The sequence below is a fragment of the Homo sapiens genome, chromosome 1 (genome assembly GCF_000001405.40).
Source record: "Homo sapiens chromosome 1, GRCh38.p14 Primary Assembly".
Classification (NCBI taxonomy): Eukaryota; Metazoa; Chordata; class Mammalia; order Primates; family Hominidae; genus Homo; species Homo sapiens.
In genome coordinates, this window is record NC_000001.11 from 161,780,799 (window position 1) to 161,800,042 (window position 19,244).

General features: G+C 36.2%; 1 protein-coding gene across 6 annotated transcripts in view, besides 1 other annotated feature; it reads left to right on the forward strand.

Moving 5' to 3' along the window:
• The window catches only part of ATF6 (activating transcription factor 6), a 197,751-nt gene that overhangs the window by 14,479 nt on the left and 164,028 nt on the right, over positions 1–19,244 (forward strand). For all 6 annotated transcript variants that reach the window (NM_001437597.1, XM_011509309.1, NM_007348.4 and 3 more), the window contains exons 3-6: positions 1,114–1,201; positions 3,192–3,298; positions 10,610–10,739; positions 11,326–11,529. In NM_001437597.1, the coding sequence (NP_001424526.1) occupies positions 1,114–1,201; positions 3,192–3,298; positions 10,610–10,739; positions 11,326–11,529 (529 nt within the window). The remainder of the gene's footprint in view (positions 1–1,113; positions 1,202–3,191; positions 3,299–10,609; positions 10,740–11,325; positions 11,530–19,244) is intronic.
• Positions 1,411–1,500: an enhancer, noted in NCBI's record as "active region_2008". NCBI's record gives its function as "activates an Ori minimal core promoter by ATAC-STARR-seq in GM12878 lymphoblastoid cells {active_cell/tissue: GM12878}" and the evidence as "EXISTENCE:reporter gene assay evidence [ECO:0000049][PMID:35858748]".

Here is a 19,244-nt window from a genome sequence, read left to right on the forward strand (position 1 = left end):
TTTTGGACTCAAGCGATCTTCCCACCCCAGCCTCCAGAATAGCTGGGACCGTAGGTGCACGCCACTATGCCCAGCTAGTGTTTGTATTTTTTTTCTTAGGTAGAGATGGGTTTTGCCATGTTGCCCAGGCTGGTCTTGAACCCCTGGGCTCAAGCAATCCTATTGTTGCTGTTTTATCATTTGTGACATTAAGTTAATATTTACTGCCTTTTGACTTTATTGCATTATTTATGTATTAAGTTTACTTTTCTTTTTGTCTCTGTGACTCCAGACACTTAATTTAAAATAGTACTGTTTGGTACTAACTTGATCTCAGACTTACATGAGGACTCTGAAATTATGTGACACTTCTTTATTCATGTATATAGTATAAGGTGGTTATCTGGATGACCCAGAATATGCTTATATTTTGGTTAGAAAAACCACCTAAATGAAAAGAACTTAATGCAGGCTTTAAGAAGTTTGCTGGACCCTGTTTTAGAAAATTAGTTTTATTTTATAGGATTAAAAAGTGGTGTTTTTTTTGATTCATAAAAGTTTTAGAAATTTAAGAAGTATAGAACTGTAGAAAAAAGGAAAATTACTCAGTGATTCATAAAAGTTTTAGAAATTTAGGAAGTATAGAACAGTAGAAAAAAAAGAAAATTACTCAGTGGTAACTATCCTCTTTATGATTCTTGCCTGTCTTTTGGATATATCTATATTCTTTCTATTGTATATAGAGATTATATTATGAATAGCATTTACTTTGTCTTGTTTTTCTTAATGGCAATGGGAAAATGTATTTTGCTGGATTTCCCTTAAGATAAAAGACACATTTTTGACTCCTGTAATGGTCATTCTCATAGAAAATAATGAAGCCAACTAAATGTTTTAAATACTGAATCCCTTACCTCTTTCCTAGTTGTTGCTGCTGTGCTTCAAGTAACTGAATTGATTTTATCTCTAGGCTATCCAAGATGTATTCTCATACAAGACTGACTTAGAGTATTCTTTTTACTAGGTTGGCTAATAGCAGTTAAATTATTTGTGCCAAATTGTGTCTCACAGTTTGATTTTAAGATGTGTATGTTTTATTCTTTTAATATTCTTTTGCTGATTTGAAACCTACAGGAAAACAATTTTGATAATCTTGATTTTGATTTGGATTTGATGCCTTGGGAGTCAGACATTTGGGACATCAACAACCAAATCTGTACAGGTAATTATGTGTTTCACTGGTAAAAGTTTTAAAAAGATCAATTTTATTTTGTAGTTTGGTCATACTCAAAATTAGGTGGGGTTATTGGGCTATTCTGGTAGGTTAAAAGATTCCTGGTGTTATGCATTCTACTTCTGGTATGGCAATTATGTAAACAAATTTCTTGCCAAAAATGGATATGAGGAGTTTCATAGTTATGTTTCAGTAGTGTAATGAATGAACAGTTCATATCAGAAATAGAAATAGTGATTTTGAATTATGAATAATGTCTCTGTATAAGATTAACCTGAGAACCAGACAGGGCTTAGGGAATCAAAGGGAAGAGCCTGGGTTACCAGAACCTAGGAACTTGGTGGAGGAGTCCCATGCATTTAATACATGTACTTCTAAGAAGGGGCAGCACCTGGCTGATACTAATATCTTTAAGGGGGCCTGATGAGGTCGGGGTTGAGTATACTGAAAGAAGCCAGAACCTGGAGCAAATTGCCAGTGCTGGGATACAGCTGATGGTAGAATGAAGAAAAATCCCTTCTCCTCCCTTCTAGCTTTTTCTAGTATCCCCTATTGACAGGACCTAAAAGGATGCCAGCTGGGAATAATTTATATCACCGATTATAGAAAGTGGACTTAGTGCTGAGAGACAGTGAATAAATAACCAGCACATTCTCCTATCTAAATTCCTCTCTACCTCTGCACTACCTATTCCTCTTCATTTTATGTATTTACTTATACTGTTTCATGCCTGTTTGCCTTCATAGAATGTGGGATACACAAAGTCAGTGTTCTGGTTTTATCGTTTGACAAACTAAATCTTAGTTGCTTAAAGCAACAACCATTTTATTAGATTGCTAGAATCTATGGGTCACGAATTTTGACTGGGTGCTTACGAATTTTGACCGGGTGCTCCAAGGATGGCTTGTCTCTGCTCCATGATGTCCAGACCACAACTGGGGAGATTTGAAGATTGTAGTAGCTTGACATTTGGGGGCTAGAATCATCTTGAGGTTTCTTCACTCATATGTGTGGCACCTGGGGTGGAATGACTTGAAGACTAGGACTACTAAATGGAGTGCCTGCATAGGGCCTCTTTGTGTGGCGTGGTGTTCTCAGTCATGGTGGTCTCAGGGTAGTCAGACTTCAAAGGCTCCAAGTATGAGTGTTCCAGCACACAAAGCAGAGGCTGCATTTCCAGCTTCAGAATTCACATAGCATTACTTCTATCTTCTCTTGATTGAAGGAGTCAAGCCCACCTAAATTCTTGGGGAGGGGAAATCGACTCTACTTCTTGGTGGGAAAGTGGCAAGATCACATTGTAGAAGATCATGAGGGAAGATCATGAAGGATGGTAGATATCGTATGGCTAATTTTGGAAAACACAGTCTGCCATCCCCACCCTATTCTATCTTTGACACCAAGGGATACTGCCTGGGCCATAGTTGCTCAGTACATTTTTATAGGATAAATTAATAGTTTAAAAGATATGAACATTTTTTATGAGTTTGAATTGTATTGTCAAAAATGCTTTCCAAAATATTTCCTGTTTCTTATTTTTTTAAATTTTTTGGGAAGCTATAATATTTTGCATATGGTAAAATATTCAAAAGGTACAAAAATCTGTATAGTAGAAAAATGTCTCCTGCTTTTATTCCTCAGCCAACAAGTTCTATTTTCCAGAGACAACCACTGTTACCAGTTTCTTCTGTTTACCCTTCCAGAGAATTAGTGCAGATGCAAGTGTACACATATATATACACACACACACAGACATACATATATACCCCCTCCCCACATATATATATAATTTGTAACACAAGTGGAAACATACTAGATATATTGTTTTCTGCATCTTTCATTTTCACTCGTTATATTTTGGTGACCTTAGCTTCCATATCTGATTGAATTTTAAAAGTAGATTTTACCTTCTTTCTTGTTCATTTTATTATAAGTTTTTATTGTCCAGTGGGTAAAACCTTTCCTCCATGTTTTCCAGTTAAAGATATTAAGGCAGAACCTCAGCCACTTTCTCCAGCCTCCTCAAGTTATTCAGTCTCGTCTCCTCGGTCAGTGGACTCTTATTCTTCAACTCAGCATGTTCCTGTGAGTAGCCAGTCTTTTACAATGATTTTGGTTATAATATGCTATCTGGAAAATATGTATATGGAGGAGGCAGTTAACATTTATTGAATACTACTATGAGTTATATTGTCTCATTTATTGAGGGAACTGAGACTCAAGAAAGAGCCTTGTGGGAGCTAGAAAGTTGTTAGTGCCTTTGGTTTTGCTCTCTTTTCCCCTCTGTTCATGCCTCCATAATTTCATTGTTTCATTTGTTTCATTGCATTTTAACAGTATCCAGTATTTGTTTATTGGCTTACTGTCCTTTCTCCCACCCTTTCTTTCTCCTCCCTATTAGGATATACATTCTTTATATATGGACATAGAAGAATGTAAGATGGTCAGTTTTTATATCTCTTTAGTCACAGCATCTAGAATGATTGCCTTAGTTTGGGAATGCCTAGTGCTACCTTTTGAAGGGGCTCACGTTTTTATAGAAGTCTGGTAGCTCTTTTAAGAACACTTCTGCTCTGTGTCCAGACAAAAGCCCTGAGGCCAGGAAAAGGAAGTACCTGATTTAGGTACTTTTTAGAATGGGGAAAGGGAAAGTATAAGAATAAAAAAATCAAATAATATTTTAGTATATTATATGTGCTATAAATTGTGGTATCTTTGTTCCTGCAGGCTCTACATTTAGTTACTAAATCCTGGTGGTTATATGCACATATTAATTCAAGGATTTATCTTTTCTGCCCCTGCCAGGCCATCACTATCTCACCTGGATTAAGTCAATAGGATTTTAACTGGTCAGCCTTACAACTCCTCAAACCTTTCTTAGCAGTGGAATCTTCAAAGAGAAATCTTTCAGTGTCACAAGCTTTACTGTATCAGTCATTTGCTTAAAACTTTTTAGTAACTTCCCAGTCCTTACAAGGATGAAATTTAAATTCCCAGAGTACTAGGCTTTCCATGATCTGGCCCCCATTTACTTTTCCAGTCTCTTTTCTTGCTATCCCCTCCTACTTCCACATTCCCCTTAATTTGAGCCCTGTGAGAGTTCCTCTCTGAGAGCTCCTATGCACTCTACTCATTCAACCGCTGTGCCAGGCACTGTTCCAGATGCTGGCAGTGAACAACAGCAGTGAGATTGCTGCTGTTACAGTTCTAGGTTTTTGCACATCCTCTTTCTTCTGCCTAGAATAGCCCCATTTTTTTCTTGTCTTGGAAAACTCATCCTTCAAGTCCCAGTTCAAAAACTACTTCCTTTATGAAGCTTTTCTCTGATTGCTGCTATTGGTAGCTCTCTGAGGTCCCACAATTTCTCCAAATGATTTAATTTTTTAAAAAATTAATAATTACAAAAGGTAGCATACTGTATACCCTGTCCTGTACCTTGTTTTTTTAGCTTAGCAGGATAACTCTTAATTTCAGAGTATATAATTTTCCCATTATGCTACATAATGTTTCATTGCATGGCCTTATCATGCTTAATTTAGTGATTTCCTTATTGATGAGTATTTGTGTTGTTTTTAGTCTTTTCCAGACCCAATTAACCTGTACATAAGTCTTTTCCAGACTCAAATAACCTATAGTAAATAACCTGGTACATAAGTCACTTTATATTTTTACCAGGATATTTTTGGGATATATTTCAAGAGGTGGGATTGTTGACACCAAGGTAAATACACTTGAATTTTGCTAGATACTGCCAAATTTCTCTCTATAGGGGTTGTAAAATTTTACATCCTCATCAGCAGTATGTAAGAGGGCCTGTTTTCCCATCATCACTCCACAATAGGTTTTGTTTTATATCTCTTTTATTATAAGTATGGTTAAATAATATCTATTCATATGTTTTATATGTTTAAGGCCTATTTGCATTTCTTTTTAAAAAATGAACTGTCATTTCAAATTTTTGTTCTTTTTTTTTTTTTGGAGATGAACTCTCTCTCTTGTCTACCAGGCTGGGGTGCAATGGCATGATCTCGGCTCACTGCAACCTCCGCCTCCTGGCTTCAAGCAATTCTCCTGCCTCCTCAGCCTCCCGAGTACCTGGGATTACAGGGATTACAGGCACCTGCCACCACACCCGGCTAATTTTTGTATTTTTAGTAGAGACAGGGTTTCACCATGTTGGCCAGGCTGGTCTCGAACTTCTGACCTCAGGTTATCCACCTGCCTCGGCCCCCCAAAGTGCTTGGGATTACAGGTGTGAGACACTGCGCCCGGCCGTTCATTTTTTAATTGAATTGTATTGGTCTTTTTCTCTTTAATATTTTAGGTGCTTTATTATATATTAGGATTATTAGTCCTTAGTTTGTGAAATAAGCTGCAAATATTTTTTCCCCAATTTTTCTTTTGTCTCTTTGCTTTATTTCTGGTGTTTATTTTTCCCCAGGTGTACTGTTTTCTATAGCCAAATTATTGATCTTTTCTTTAATTGCTTTTTTGTTCACTCAAAGGAAGGTTTTCACCACTGAGAGGTTATAAAATAATTCACTCATATTTTTACTCTTTTTTTTTGCTTATGTTAATTTTTTGTTTGGAACAATCTCAAATTCACAGAAGTGTTGTGAGTACCTTGCAAATAACTTGTTTTTTCCTTATGCATTTCAGAGTAAGTTACCAGTCCGATGCCCCTATCACTCCAATACTTTAGTGTCTACTTCCTACAAGCACAGATATTTCTTAGCCATAATACAAGCACAAAATCGGGAAATAAACATTAATATGTTACTATAATCTAACCTTCAGCTCTCGTTTAAATTGTGCCAGACATCCCAGAGGTGTCCTTTAGACTATCAAAAGGACCCAGTTCAGAATCAAGCATTGCATGTGGTTATCTTGTCTTTTTAATCTTGTTCAGTATGAAACAGTTCTTCATTAATCCTTGACTTTCTTCACCTTGTCACTTTTGGGGATTAGGAGTTAGTTATTTTGAAGAGCATTTCTTAGTCGGGTTTGTCTGATGTTTCTTTAGGATCATATTCAGGTTTTATATCTGTGGCAGGAATGTCACAGAAGTGCTGTCTGTGTCCAACTTTTGATGACCCAATTTTGATTTTTTCTAATACTGATTATTTTCACTTTGATCCCTTCATAGATGTTATCTGCCAACCTATTCCATTGTGAAGTTGCTTTTTCTCTCTATGCCATACATATTTTGTGAGAAAGATACTTTAAGACTATGTAAAAATATCCTGTTCATCATCACACTTTATATTTGTTCACTTATTTGTTAATATCTGTATGGATTCATCGTTTCTTATTTTATTCAACAGATTATAATCCGTTACTATAATTATTTATTCTGATTCTTACATTGTTCTGGATTTGGCCAGTGGGGGTCCCTTCACACCAGCTCTTATGTTCTTTTAACATGTCTCCTTTGGGCTCTGATGTCCTTACACTAGGCTGTCTTCCCATGCGGATGCCCTCCTCACTCTGCTGTGACTCCTCATGCCAGGCCGCCTGCCATATCAGTGCCCTCTCTACCCTTCTTGGACCCTGACATTCCACCAGGCTACTTCTCTGCGTGGATGGTGGTCTTGCTTTACCCCATCTAGTGGCTTAGGATAAAATTATTCAGGAAGGAATATTTTCTAAGTGACTATGAATAAGTATTTATCATGAGATATTATTTTTAGTGTTTAGATCTCGGATCCATTTGAAATTACCCTTGTGTATTATATGAGATACAAATCCAATTTTATGTTTTTCCAAATGACTATCAAAATGATTATTCTAGTACCATTTATCAAAAAGTTCATCTGATTTCAATTATATGCATGTATTTTAAATTTATGTAAATGGCATTATAGTAGATATCTTTATATTATTTACTTTTAAAAATCAGCACAGTGTTTTTAAGATAAATTCCTATTGCTCTGTGTACATCAAATCTGTTGCATCTAACTCTGTACAACATTCAAGTATGCATTCACTACATTTTTACCTACACCATAATGAATATTTTAAAAAATGTTCCCTTGCGGACCCATGTGAGAAATCCTTTAGAATATATGCCTAGAATTGCTGGGTAGTAGAATGTGCAGGTATTTAATTTGACAAGTGCTTCCATATTTCTCTCCAGGATCATCATAGTACTCTGTGGGCTGGCAGCAGTGCCTGAGGATCCCTGTGACTTCTCTCCTGATACTTGGCATTGTCTGCCTTTTTAATTTTTACTCCATGGCACAATGTGTTTTTTTGTTGTTTGCTTTTATTTTGTTTTACTTTGTATTTCTTTGGTTATTGTTTTCAACATTTATTTACATTCTTATGAGCTTTTTGGACTTTTTTTCTTTTATACATTGTTTATTCCTGTCCTTTGCCAGTTTTTCTACTCAGTTGTTGTCTTCTTGTTTATCAGCAGGAATTCCTCATATACTTGAAATAGTAAAACTCTTGTTGGATTTAGACATTCAAATTGCCTATATCTTTTCCCTTTCTATTATCTATTAACTTTGTAGTCTTTATTAAGTATAAATAGTTAATTTTCAATTACTCAGGCTTATCTTTTTTTTTCTTTTCCTTTATGGCTTATTTAAGAAGTCCTTCTATGCTTTTAGAGCACAGAGGTATTCTGCATTTTCTTTTATTAACCATATGGTTTACCTTTCACATTTAGGTTTCTTAATACTCTTAGACACCACTTTAATATGTGGTATTATGTAGGGATCTAGCACTAGGTAGGGATCTAATTTTAATTTTCTCTATAAAATGAATCAGTTTTCCTAACTGTATTGTCTTTATAATCACTTGTAATCACTCTTTTCAACAATATTGTATATCTCTCTGTTTACTGAAATCTTTTATGCCTTAGTTCAGTTGTGTAGTTTTCTTCATATGGGTCCTGCACATTCCTTAGAAAATTTCTAGGTATTTTGTAATTGTTATTGCTATTGTGAGTGAAATATTTATTTATTTGTTTTATTTAAATCTTTTTTATTTTTAACTTTTTTTGGGTACATGGTAGGCATATATATTTGTGGGGTACATGAGATGTTTTGACACAGGCATGCAATGTAAAATAATTAGATCATGGAAAATGGGGTATCCATCCCCTCAAGCATTTATCCTTTGTGTTATAAACAATCCAGTTACATACTTTTTGTTATTTTAAAATGTACAACTAAGCTCTTATTGAGTATAGTCACCCTGCTGTGCTATTAAATAATATGTCTTATTCCTTCTCCTTTTTTTTTTTTTTTTTTTTTTTTTTACCCATTAACAATCCCCATCTCACTACCAGCTTCTCAGTACCCTCCCCAGCCTCTGGTAACCATCCTTCTACCCTATGTTCATGATTTCAATTGTTTTGGTTTTTTGATCCCACAAATAAGTGAGAACATGTGATGTTTGTCTTTCTGTGCCTGGCTTGAAATATTTATTTTTTATTATGTTTTCTAAGTGTATATTAATACAATATTTTCAAGTCAAATTTTTTTTTCAGTGGATTGTTACATGTGCTTCAAGTATATAGCATATTACCTTGCTAAAAGGCACGCTGTCTCTTTTGTTTTAATGTTTTTTAAATTTCTTCTTTTAGTGTAATTATACTAGAATTACAGAAAAAGCAGGTATCTATTTTTTATCCTGACTTTAATTGTAATGCATTCAGCATTGGACTTGGCTGTATAATTACTGATAGCTTTTTAATGTTAAGAAAGTATTCCTCGGATCCTTGTTTTCTAGGATTTTATTGAGGAATACTTGTCGAATATTATCAAATACCTTTTAAGCATCAAAGGCCGTGAAGATAATAGTCTCCTCCCGTGTTACCTTGTACTCTTTGGTTTCTTGGAAATGTATTTTAATACACTCTACATATTGCTCAGCTTACATGCTGAGTAGGTGTTAAGGATGAAGGAAGATGCAATTGTCACTTGTCACTCTCACCAGTGAGACTGAGAGCATTTCTTTCTCCCATATCCTCTCAAGGTCATTTAAATTTTTTTTTATGATAAAAAAAGTTTAAATTTGCCTTTGACTACCATTTGCGTTTCCTTTTCAGTGAAATGGCTGTTCCTGCCTTTTGTCTATTTTTCGCAAATATTTTCTACCAATATATATCTTTTAACTTTGTTTATGGTCTAGTTTTTATTGTTAAATAGTTTACTTATTATTTGTTCAAATCTATTTCTTCTTCCTTTGTGGCTTCTGTGTGTTCTGACTTAAGAGGGTCTGCAACACCCTGAGAGTAAACAAGTATTCTCTTAAATTTTATTTTTATATTATAATCTTATAGATTATTTTGAAGATGTTATGAAGTAGAGATTATGTCTATTGCGTGATCATGCATGCCATCTTTTCTGTCTGAATTGAATTGCTACTTCTATGTTGTTTCTTTATTCTAACAAAATGAGATAGATTCACTGAATATTAAAAGACTTTGGGAAAATGCGAATGTTATCTTTATGTATCTCAATCATTATGAATTCACCTACTAAATTAAAGAAAATAGCACTGTTGGCTGGGTGGGGTGGTTCACGCCTGTAATCCCAGCACGTTGGGAGGCTGAGGTGGGTGGACCATATGAGGTCAGGAGTTTTAGAGCAGCCCAGCCAACATGGTGAAACCCCCTCTCTACCAGAAATACAAAAACTTAGCAAGGCGTGGTGGCACACATCTGTGGTTGTAGCTACTCGGGAGGCTAAGGCAGGAGAATTGCTTGAACTGGGGAGGCAGAGGTTGCAGTGAGCTGAGATTGCGTCACTGCACTCCAGCTTGGGCAACAGAGTGAGACTCTGTCTCAACAACAACAACAACAACAACAACAACAACAACAACAAAGCACTGCTCCATTCATGCATCTTTCTTTTACAACATTTGGAACAAAGGCAGTATTACAAAATAGAAAACAGAAAAGAATACAAATAAAATTATTTTGCTTTTGATATTCTTTTAAGACCAAATAAGAGAGATTATGGAGAAAGGATATTGGCATTTTAACTGCAACCTTATACTGATACTGAATGTTTGTATGACTACGAACCAAGTTTTATATGTGTGTGTGTGTGTGTGTGTCTCTGTGTGTGTGTGTGTGTCTCTGTGTGTGTGTGTGTGTGTGTGTGTGTAGTTTGTAGGAAGAAATGTAGCAACAGATCAATGATTCATATCTTTAACAGGATGGCATAGACTTACTCTGCATTTTGAGTTATTTTTCCTTTGGTATAGATGGATCATGCTGATAGTCACTTATTACTTAATATATATATACAGTTTCTAATATACCTTTCCTTTGAAGTTACCCTGAAGTGTTTTTCTGTTTATATGTGGGTCTCCTCCTTTTCTATGCAATTTGCTGCTTAAGGATTATACTCATTAATTTTTGTTTTTATTATGCTACAGGAGGAGTTGGATTTGTCTTCTAGTTCTCAGATGTCTCCCCTTTCCTTATATGGTGAAAACTCTAATAGTCTCTCTTCAGCGGAGCCACTGAAGGAAGATAAGCCTGTCACTGGTCCTAGGAACAAGACTGGTATTACTCTATCTCCTAACTTCTGTTATTTCTATTTCAGATTGAGCTTAGGTTCCATTTCTTAAAAGAAAATGCTGGATTAAATTTATGTTTATTAGGCTGGCTTGCTGTTTTTTAATTGGTGGACCTATATTGTTTGTTGTGAGTGATTACCGTGGAGAGGAAAGGGGAGAAATAATCTTTGGTTGTCTCTGTCTTTACAGGTGAAAGATACTTTAAAATAGACTCAGACCCCACCATCTTCAGGAGAGATTTCAAAGTTTCAGTTAAAGATAACTGAATGGAGCTATGACATTTGTTACCTCATTAATCTCTGGGTGTTATCCCGTGATTTTAGCAATTCTCCTTTACCAGTTAGTGTGTCCCATTCCCAAAACTGCAGCTTGGTTAGAAAAGGAGGTAACAGTTTAAGTACTTTTCTTCAGTTCATTCAGGTATATGTACTGTAGCTATGCTTAAACTCCAGTTAAAGATTGTTAATCGAAGTTAAGATAATGTGTAGAGAAAGGTGTGTGATAGAATCTGTTTTTTAGGGCTTGCGTAATTGCTTTCACATTGACTTGTGGTTTGTCTGGTTTTTCTCCAGAAAATGGACTGACTCCAAAGAAAAAAATTCAGGTGAATTCAAAACCTTCAATTCAGCCCAAGCCTTTATTGCTTCCAGCAGCACCCAAGACTCAAACAAACTCCAGTGTTCCAGCAAAAACCATCATTATTCAGACAGTACCAACGCTTATGCCATTGGCAAAGCAGCAACCAATTATCAGTTTACAACCTGCACCCACTAAAGGTACCTGAGCAGAATTTAAGGCTGTGTAAATTTATTTGGAGGGCAGTAAGGGTTGTGTCATATGATTTGTTTTAATTCAGGTTATAATTTCTGAGCACGTGCTGTTTGTCAGGAATGTCTTTGGTTATGAGGACGTTGCAGAGATGACTAATGTGTGGTTCCTGTCATAACAAGGGATATAGCTCTCCAGACCAGTTACATCTGATGGTTATTTTGAAAATCTGGGACACTTTCTTGGTGCCATTTTATTCTGGTGGATAAAATACAGGAACACAAATTTTAAGCTAGTTGAAGGCAGAGTTCAGGTCAGCCAGATTTTTGTGGCTGTGAACTTTTTTTGTTTTGAAGGAATATTTAAAATAATAGGGTCCATTTCAGGTGTGTTATAGCAATAGAATCACACCCTTAATCTCTGAGGAGGCTGCATGGTTTAGTAAACAGTATATTGACCTGGTCATGAGGAGACCTGAACTCTGCTTTCAACTAGCTAAGAATTTGTGTGTTTCGTATTTTATCCACCAGATGGCCTCATACACTTGTGATTCTATGAGAGGTTTATGTCATTATTGAAAGAAGTTCAAGTCTGAGGATTTGGTACTATTCAGATATGGGAGTCATTTCCGTATGGAGATCTCTTAGGTAGATTAGTCATCATTGTACTCATACTGATATCTGTATACACTGGGTACAAGAAAACTTTTGCAGCATTCTTATCTCTGGATTTAGTTTGTTGGCACCAGATATGACTAGGCGATAATGGGGTATGGGTTGTAAATAAACACCAATGTTACATTTGTACTGTATCTCCAATTGTGAATAGGTAGCTCGTTTTTTGGAGCATAGTTTTAATGAGGGTAAATTTGATAAATTTAATTTCCAGATACTCTTTTAGCTTTGTTCTATTACATGGTCATAGACAATATGACATTGATAAAAAGAAGACCTAGATGAGAGAATGGATGAATCAGTGAAAATTCATCCATCAGTCCCACCAAAAATAAACAGACAAACAAACAAACAAAAACCAGTTTGAAATGCCTGCTCTCTCAGTACAAAGTCAGAACTGCTGCCTTTTCCATCTGAAAAGTAGCATTCCTATAGAATAGGTATTCTTGTGATTTATAAATGTGTATTAAGGGTTCATGAACTCCTTGAAACAAAATGCAGGATTTAATGTATGTTCATATGTGGATTATTCTAGGGATAGTCTCCAAAACTTTCATTAGGATCTCATAAGGATCTGTGCCTTCCCAAAGGCTAAGAATTTAAACTAATGAAGAACCTCATTGTAGTTCCCATAAGCTATTAAAATACGTCTATACAAAAAGTCTGACATTAATATGACTAGCGTATAAAGCAGGGGTATTCCTAAGAATTTGCCCTTAGCAGATCATTGACTATGTTTGAGTGATGGAAGATCTTACCTATAATAAGAAGACAAACTGTTCTTTTCTGAGCAGTTTATCAGTTCCAGAAACCTGAATTACACATTATTTGAAACTTCAATACTTTCCTGTCATCTGAAGACTATAGTTATTTTTTTGTGAGCATGTGCTAATATGAGGAACTGCACCTTGCCTGTTTTTTTTCTTTTATTTGAGACAGAGTCTCGCTGTGTTGCCAGGCTGGAGTGCAGTGGTGTGATCTTGGCTCACTGCAACTTCCACCTCCTGGGTTCAAGTGATTCTCCTGCTTCAGCCTCCAGAGTAGCTGGGACTACAGGCACGTGCCACCATGCCCAGCTAATTTTTATATTTTTAGTAGAGACAGGGTTTCACCATGTCGGCCAGGATGGTCTTGATCTCTTGACCTCGTAATCGCCTGCCTCGGCCTCCCAAAGTGCTGGGATTACAGGTGTGAGCCACCGCGCCTGGTGCCTTGTCTGTTTTTATAGTACAATCTAAATAGGTGGTATTATTATAATAACATACAGATTTAAAGTATGTTTTTCATTTATTTGAGAATGGGGAGGAAGAAGGGAAGTATGGGCAAGACATTATACAGTTAATCATGTTAATACTAGTAGTAAATATGTTACCATTGAAAAAGAAGAGGTAATTTCCACAGGTTTAAGACTGAGATTCTCTAGCTTGGAATGTAAAACTCTTCACAATTTGGCTCTAGTTTAGTTTTTTGTTTTTTTGTTATTGTTGTTTGTTTGTTTTTAATAGAGACAGGATCTCACTATATTGCTCAGTCTGGTCTCGAATTCTTGGGCTCAAGGGATCTACCCACCTTGATCTCCCAAAGCTCTGGGATTAAGGCGTGAGCCACCATGCCTGGCCTCCTAGTTTAGTTTTCGAACTTTATAATATTACTCTTTTCTATAAATCCCTTCTTCTAGCTCAACTAATCTGTCATTGTCCTTTGAATTCTCTTGTTTTTCCTAGTTTTTTGGCTCACCATTTTCTACCAACCAGCAACAACTTATGCCTACTTCTACTTCTCAGTCCTCCATGTCCTTTAAGACTGTTTTGAGTAGTGTAGATGAGAGATAATGAAAGCCTGGAATATCAATGAAAGTGGAGAACCAGGATGAAGAGTAGAGATGTTAAAAGTGTAGAATCTTAGAGATTGGTAATTGGATTGTGTAGAAGGAGGCTGAACGATAGAGAGGAAGGTGTCTAGGATGACTTCCGTTTTTCTATCTTGGGGCTTTTTGGGTAGATGATGGCGAAAATTATTGAAATGGGAGACAGAGGTAAAATATGTTGCCCAGATCACTCTGCTAATAAGAAGTGGAGCCAGAACTTGAGCCCAGGTGGTCTGGCTCGGAGTCTATGTGAATAATCACTATACTGTATCGCCTTAAAAAAAAAATGACAGATGTATTCCTTGCTCTCAAGAATTCTACACTTTAATTGGGGGATTAAATTCACATAAACAGTTAAATAACAGTCACTGTGATAACTAATAAATTAATAACTCATGCAGTGCCCTTATGGAAGCTATTATTATATAGAAAAGGAGATTAATAATAATAATAATTGCATTTAAGTTCTTACTATGTGCCAGACACTCTTCTAAGTGCTTAAGTGCATTATCTTATTTCAAATAATATTTACACATTATTTGAAACTTCAGTATGTTTCTATGATTTATGGTGATGGGTTGTGATATCTCCATTTTTTAGATGAGAACGCTAAGTACAGATTATTTGCCCTAAGTCACACACCGATGCTGTTTCAGACAAAGTAGGCATTCAATAAATGTTTGATACATAGTTTAAAATCTTTGAAGAAAGTTTAAAAGAAAGAACTATCAAAATCAGTGAGTTACACATAGTCAAAAAAATATATGGCATTGAATCCAGCCATGTTCCGTTAAGGGGGATTTGCATGTAATGCCAGAGAGGATTTTGAGCATGCTAAAATGGATAAACAGCCTTTGGAATGTCCTTTTTAACTGTTTCCACACTAGGAACAGTAGTAACTATGTTCAGCTGCTATTTAAGGCCCCAAACAATTCTTTGCATTGTAGTTTGTGGCCTGGTCAGCATTTACCAAGTCACCATGAGAGTTTTTTGTTCTTTCACTTGAACATATTGTCATAGAAATTTAGTTGTTTCCCCTCATTCTGTGTTGAACCCAAACATGCCTAGAATATTTAGAGTATCCCTGATTTAGCTGCTGGGTAATTTGAGGATAGTTGGGTACTCTGGGATGAAAAGGCTTGATACAATATGGGAAAAAAAGGAAGCAGCAGTGGCTTGGTAGGACTCAAGCCACATTTGGCCTTGCCTTGGTATTCTTCCATCTCCTTTGTGTGATGCGGTCGTCTCAGCAAGGAGACAGTGGTAATTACACAATTGGTAGTACAGATTTGGATTATTTTTCTTAATTAGTTTAAGAAATATTACAAAGCCCTCTGTACATGTTATCTGCTAGGGCTTTAAATCTGTAACTGTAGCTAGAAATAGGATTCTTTCTTATAAGTTGCCTAATTCATTATATTTACACCTCTTCTGTTCTTTAAAATAGTCCCAAAGTTCCCTGAACAGTGTTTAATTTTGGGGAGGGATCTTTTAATCATAATTTTAAACTCAGAGGATGTAGAACATGGCTTCCTATAATACTCTTCTCAAAGTATTGGTTTAAGTCAGTGGTTCTCAGTCTGTATATTGTGGACCCTGGGATGTGGGTGATGGGGGTAGTAGCTTTATGGCATTTTGCAAAGCATCTGCAAATCCATACTTGAAGCAAGCATTTTCTGTAGACCAAATAATTTATTTCATATATCTTTGTACAGCTCTTCAAATTTTTATAGCTATACTTCTGACTAATAAACTCCAAGTTCATTTTAAATCTTCACTAAATTCTTAGCAGCCTTTTTCCATCATGTATTTTCTCAGTACACAGAAGCTGAAAGGACAACCTTGATGGTTTTGGGTGACCAGGATATTATTTTATATTAAAAGAGAGCCCTTATATTCAGGAGCCTTTGGGGAGAGACTATGGGTTTTCTAGGTGTAGAATTATATCATCTGTGTGAGAGATGGTTTGACTTCCTCTCTTCATATTTGGATGCCTTTTATTTCTTTCTTTTGCCTGATTGCTCTGGCTATGACTTGAGCACTTGGGAATTCTTGTTTTTTGGTTTTTTTTTTCACATTATGATAAATATATATTTTCATAGTGCCAGATTTACTGTAATTTCTTATTGTTATTAAAACCTAACACTTGGTCATATGCTATTTACTTTATGTGTTTCTAATTTTTATTTGCGTATTTGGCCTAAGCATGTTTATATCTGCTTCTGAGTAATTTCTGCATTTTATATGTTTTTACTTCATAAAAGATGGAGGCCACCTCAAAACAAATTAGGCATCAAAGGAACATACCTCAAAATAATAAGAACCATCTATAGCAAGTCCACAGCCAACATTGTAATGAGTGGGCAAGAGCTGGAAGTACATTCCCTTTGAGAACCAGAACAAGACAAGGATGTCCCTCTCACCACTCATATTCAACATAGTGCTGGAAGTTGTAGCCATAGCAGTCAGGCAAGAGAAAGAAATAAAAGGCATCCAAATAGGAAGAGAGGAAGTCAAACTACCTCTCTTCACAGACGATATGATTCTATACCTGGAAAACCCATAGTCTCAGCCCAAGACTCCTAGATCTGATAAACAACTTCAGCAAAGTTTTAGGATACAAAATCAATGTACAAAAGTCAGCAGCATTTCTATACCCCAGTAATGTCCAAGCTGAGAGCCAAATCAAGAATGCAGTCTCATTCACGATAGCCAAAAAAAGAATATAAAGTACCTGGGAATACAGCAAGCTGGGGAGGTGAAAGATCTCTACAATGAGTTACAAAACACTGCTGAAAGAAATCAGAGATCACACAAACAAATGGAAAAACATTCCATGCTCATGGATAGGAAGAATCGATAGTGTTAAAATGGCCATACTGCTCAAAGCAATTTACAGATTTAATGCTATTCCTATCAAACTATCAATGACATTTTTCACACAATTAGGAAAAACTATTCTAAAGTTCACATGGAACTGAAAAAGAGCCTAAATAGCCAAAGCAGCCCTAAGCAAAAAGAACAAAGCCAGAGGCATCAAGCTACCTGATTTCAAACTGTACTACAAGACTACAGTAACCAAAACAGCATGATACTGGTATAAAAACAGGCACATAGACCGATGGATTAGATTAGAGAACCCAGAAATAAAGCTGCACCCCTGCAACCATCTGGTCTTTAACAAAAACAAACAGTGGGGAAAGGACTGCCTATTCAATAAATGGTGGTAAGATAACTGGCTAGCCATATGCAGAAGATTGAAACTGGATCCTTTCCTTTCAGTGTATACAAAACCCAACTCAAGATGGATGAAAGACTTAAATGTACAGGCTCAAATTATAAAAACCCTAGAAGAAAACCTAGGAAATATGGTTCTGGACATAGGCCTTGTCAAAGATTTCATGATGAAGACTCCAAAAGCAATCGCAACAAAAACAAAAATTGACAAATGGGATCTAATTAAACTAAAGAGGCTGGGCGTGGTGGTTCACACCTGTAATCCCAGCACTTTGGGAGGCTGAGGGGTGCATCACTTGAGATCAGGAATTCAAGACCAACCTGGCCAATATGGTGAAACCCCATCTCTACTAAAAATACATAAATTAGCCAGGCATGGTGGTACATGCTTGTAATCCCAGTTACTTGGGAGGCTGAGGCAGGAGAATTGCTTGAACCCAGGAGGCGGCAGGTGCAGTGAGCTGAGATTGTGCCACTGCACTCCAGCCTGGGTGACAGAGCTCAAAAATCAATAAATAAAAATCAACTAAAGAGCTTCTGCACAGCAAAAGAAACTATCAACAGAGGAATAGGACAGCCTACAGAATGGGAGAGAATATTTGCAAACAGTGTATCCAACAAAGGTCTAATCTCCAGAATCTACAAGAAACTTAACAAGCAAAAAACAACCCCATTAAGAAGTGGGCAAAGGATATGAACAGACACTTTCAAAAGAAGACATAGACATGGCCAATAAGCATATGAAAAAATGCTCAACATCACTAATCATTAGAGAAATGTAAATCAAAACAACAGTGAGATACCATCTCACATCAGTCAGAATGGCTACTATCAAAAAGTTGAAAAATATCCGATGCTGGCAAGATTGCAGAGAAAAGTGAATGCATATACATTGCTGGTGGGAATGTAAATTGGTTCAGCCACTGAACGTAGTTTGTAGATTTCTCAAATAACTTAAAGTAGAACTACCATTTGACCCAGCAGTCCCATTACTGGGTATATACCCAAGGGAATATAAAGACACACGCACACATATGTTCATCACAGAACTATTCACAATAGCAAAGACATGGAATCAACCTAGATGCCCATCAGTGGTGAACTGGATAAAGAAAATGTGGTACATATACACCATTCAATACTACACAGCCATAAAAAAGAATGAAATCATGTTCTTTGCAGCAACATGGATGGAGCTGAAGGCCATTATCCTAAGATAATTAATGCAGGAACAGAAAACCAAATACTTCATGTTCTGTCTTATAAGTGGGAGTTATACATTGAGTACACATAGACATAAAAAGGGGACAATAGACAACAGGGGCTACTTTTGAGGGTGGAGGATGCAAGGAGGGTGAGAATCTAAAAATTACCTGTTGGGTACTGTGCTCATTACCTGAGTGATGAAATAATCTGTATGCCAAACACCTGTGACATGCAATTTATCCATGTAACAAACCTGCCTGTCTACCCCCTGAACCTAAAATAAAAGTTGGGGGAAAGAAAAACTGAATCCAAGGGAAAACGAGAAGGTAAAAATGTTTAATGATCATTTATGCCGAAGTATTAATACATTGTATCTACTCCAAATCCATGAAATTATTTTTAGATCTTCTTATCTGGGATAAAATGCTGTTTATTGAAATTCTGCTACTTTCAGTGTGTTTTTTGAGGCCATCTGAAACAAGGGCTTTGCTTTTATAAGTTATCTTTTTTAGCCAAGACAGATGTTCTTGACAAACAGGTGTTCTGAAGCTTTATTTTGATTTTTAGTTTTCCCCGATCCTTTGAAATATTGAGCTGAGTTTTACATGGGTCAACCTGTCTGAAAGCATAATGCTTTTTTTTTCTTAAACAAATTATAAATTTACATGATATTTTAGTTGCCAGTTATTTTAGTACCTTCATTTTGTTAGATAGGCTCAAGCAGCTGTGGATGTTAGGC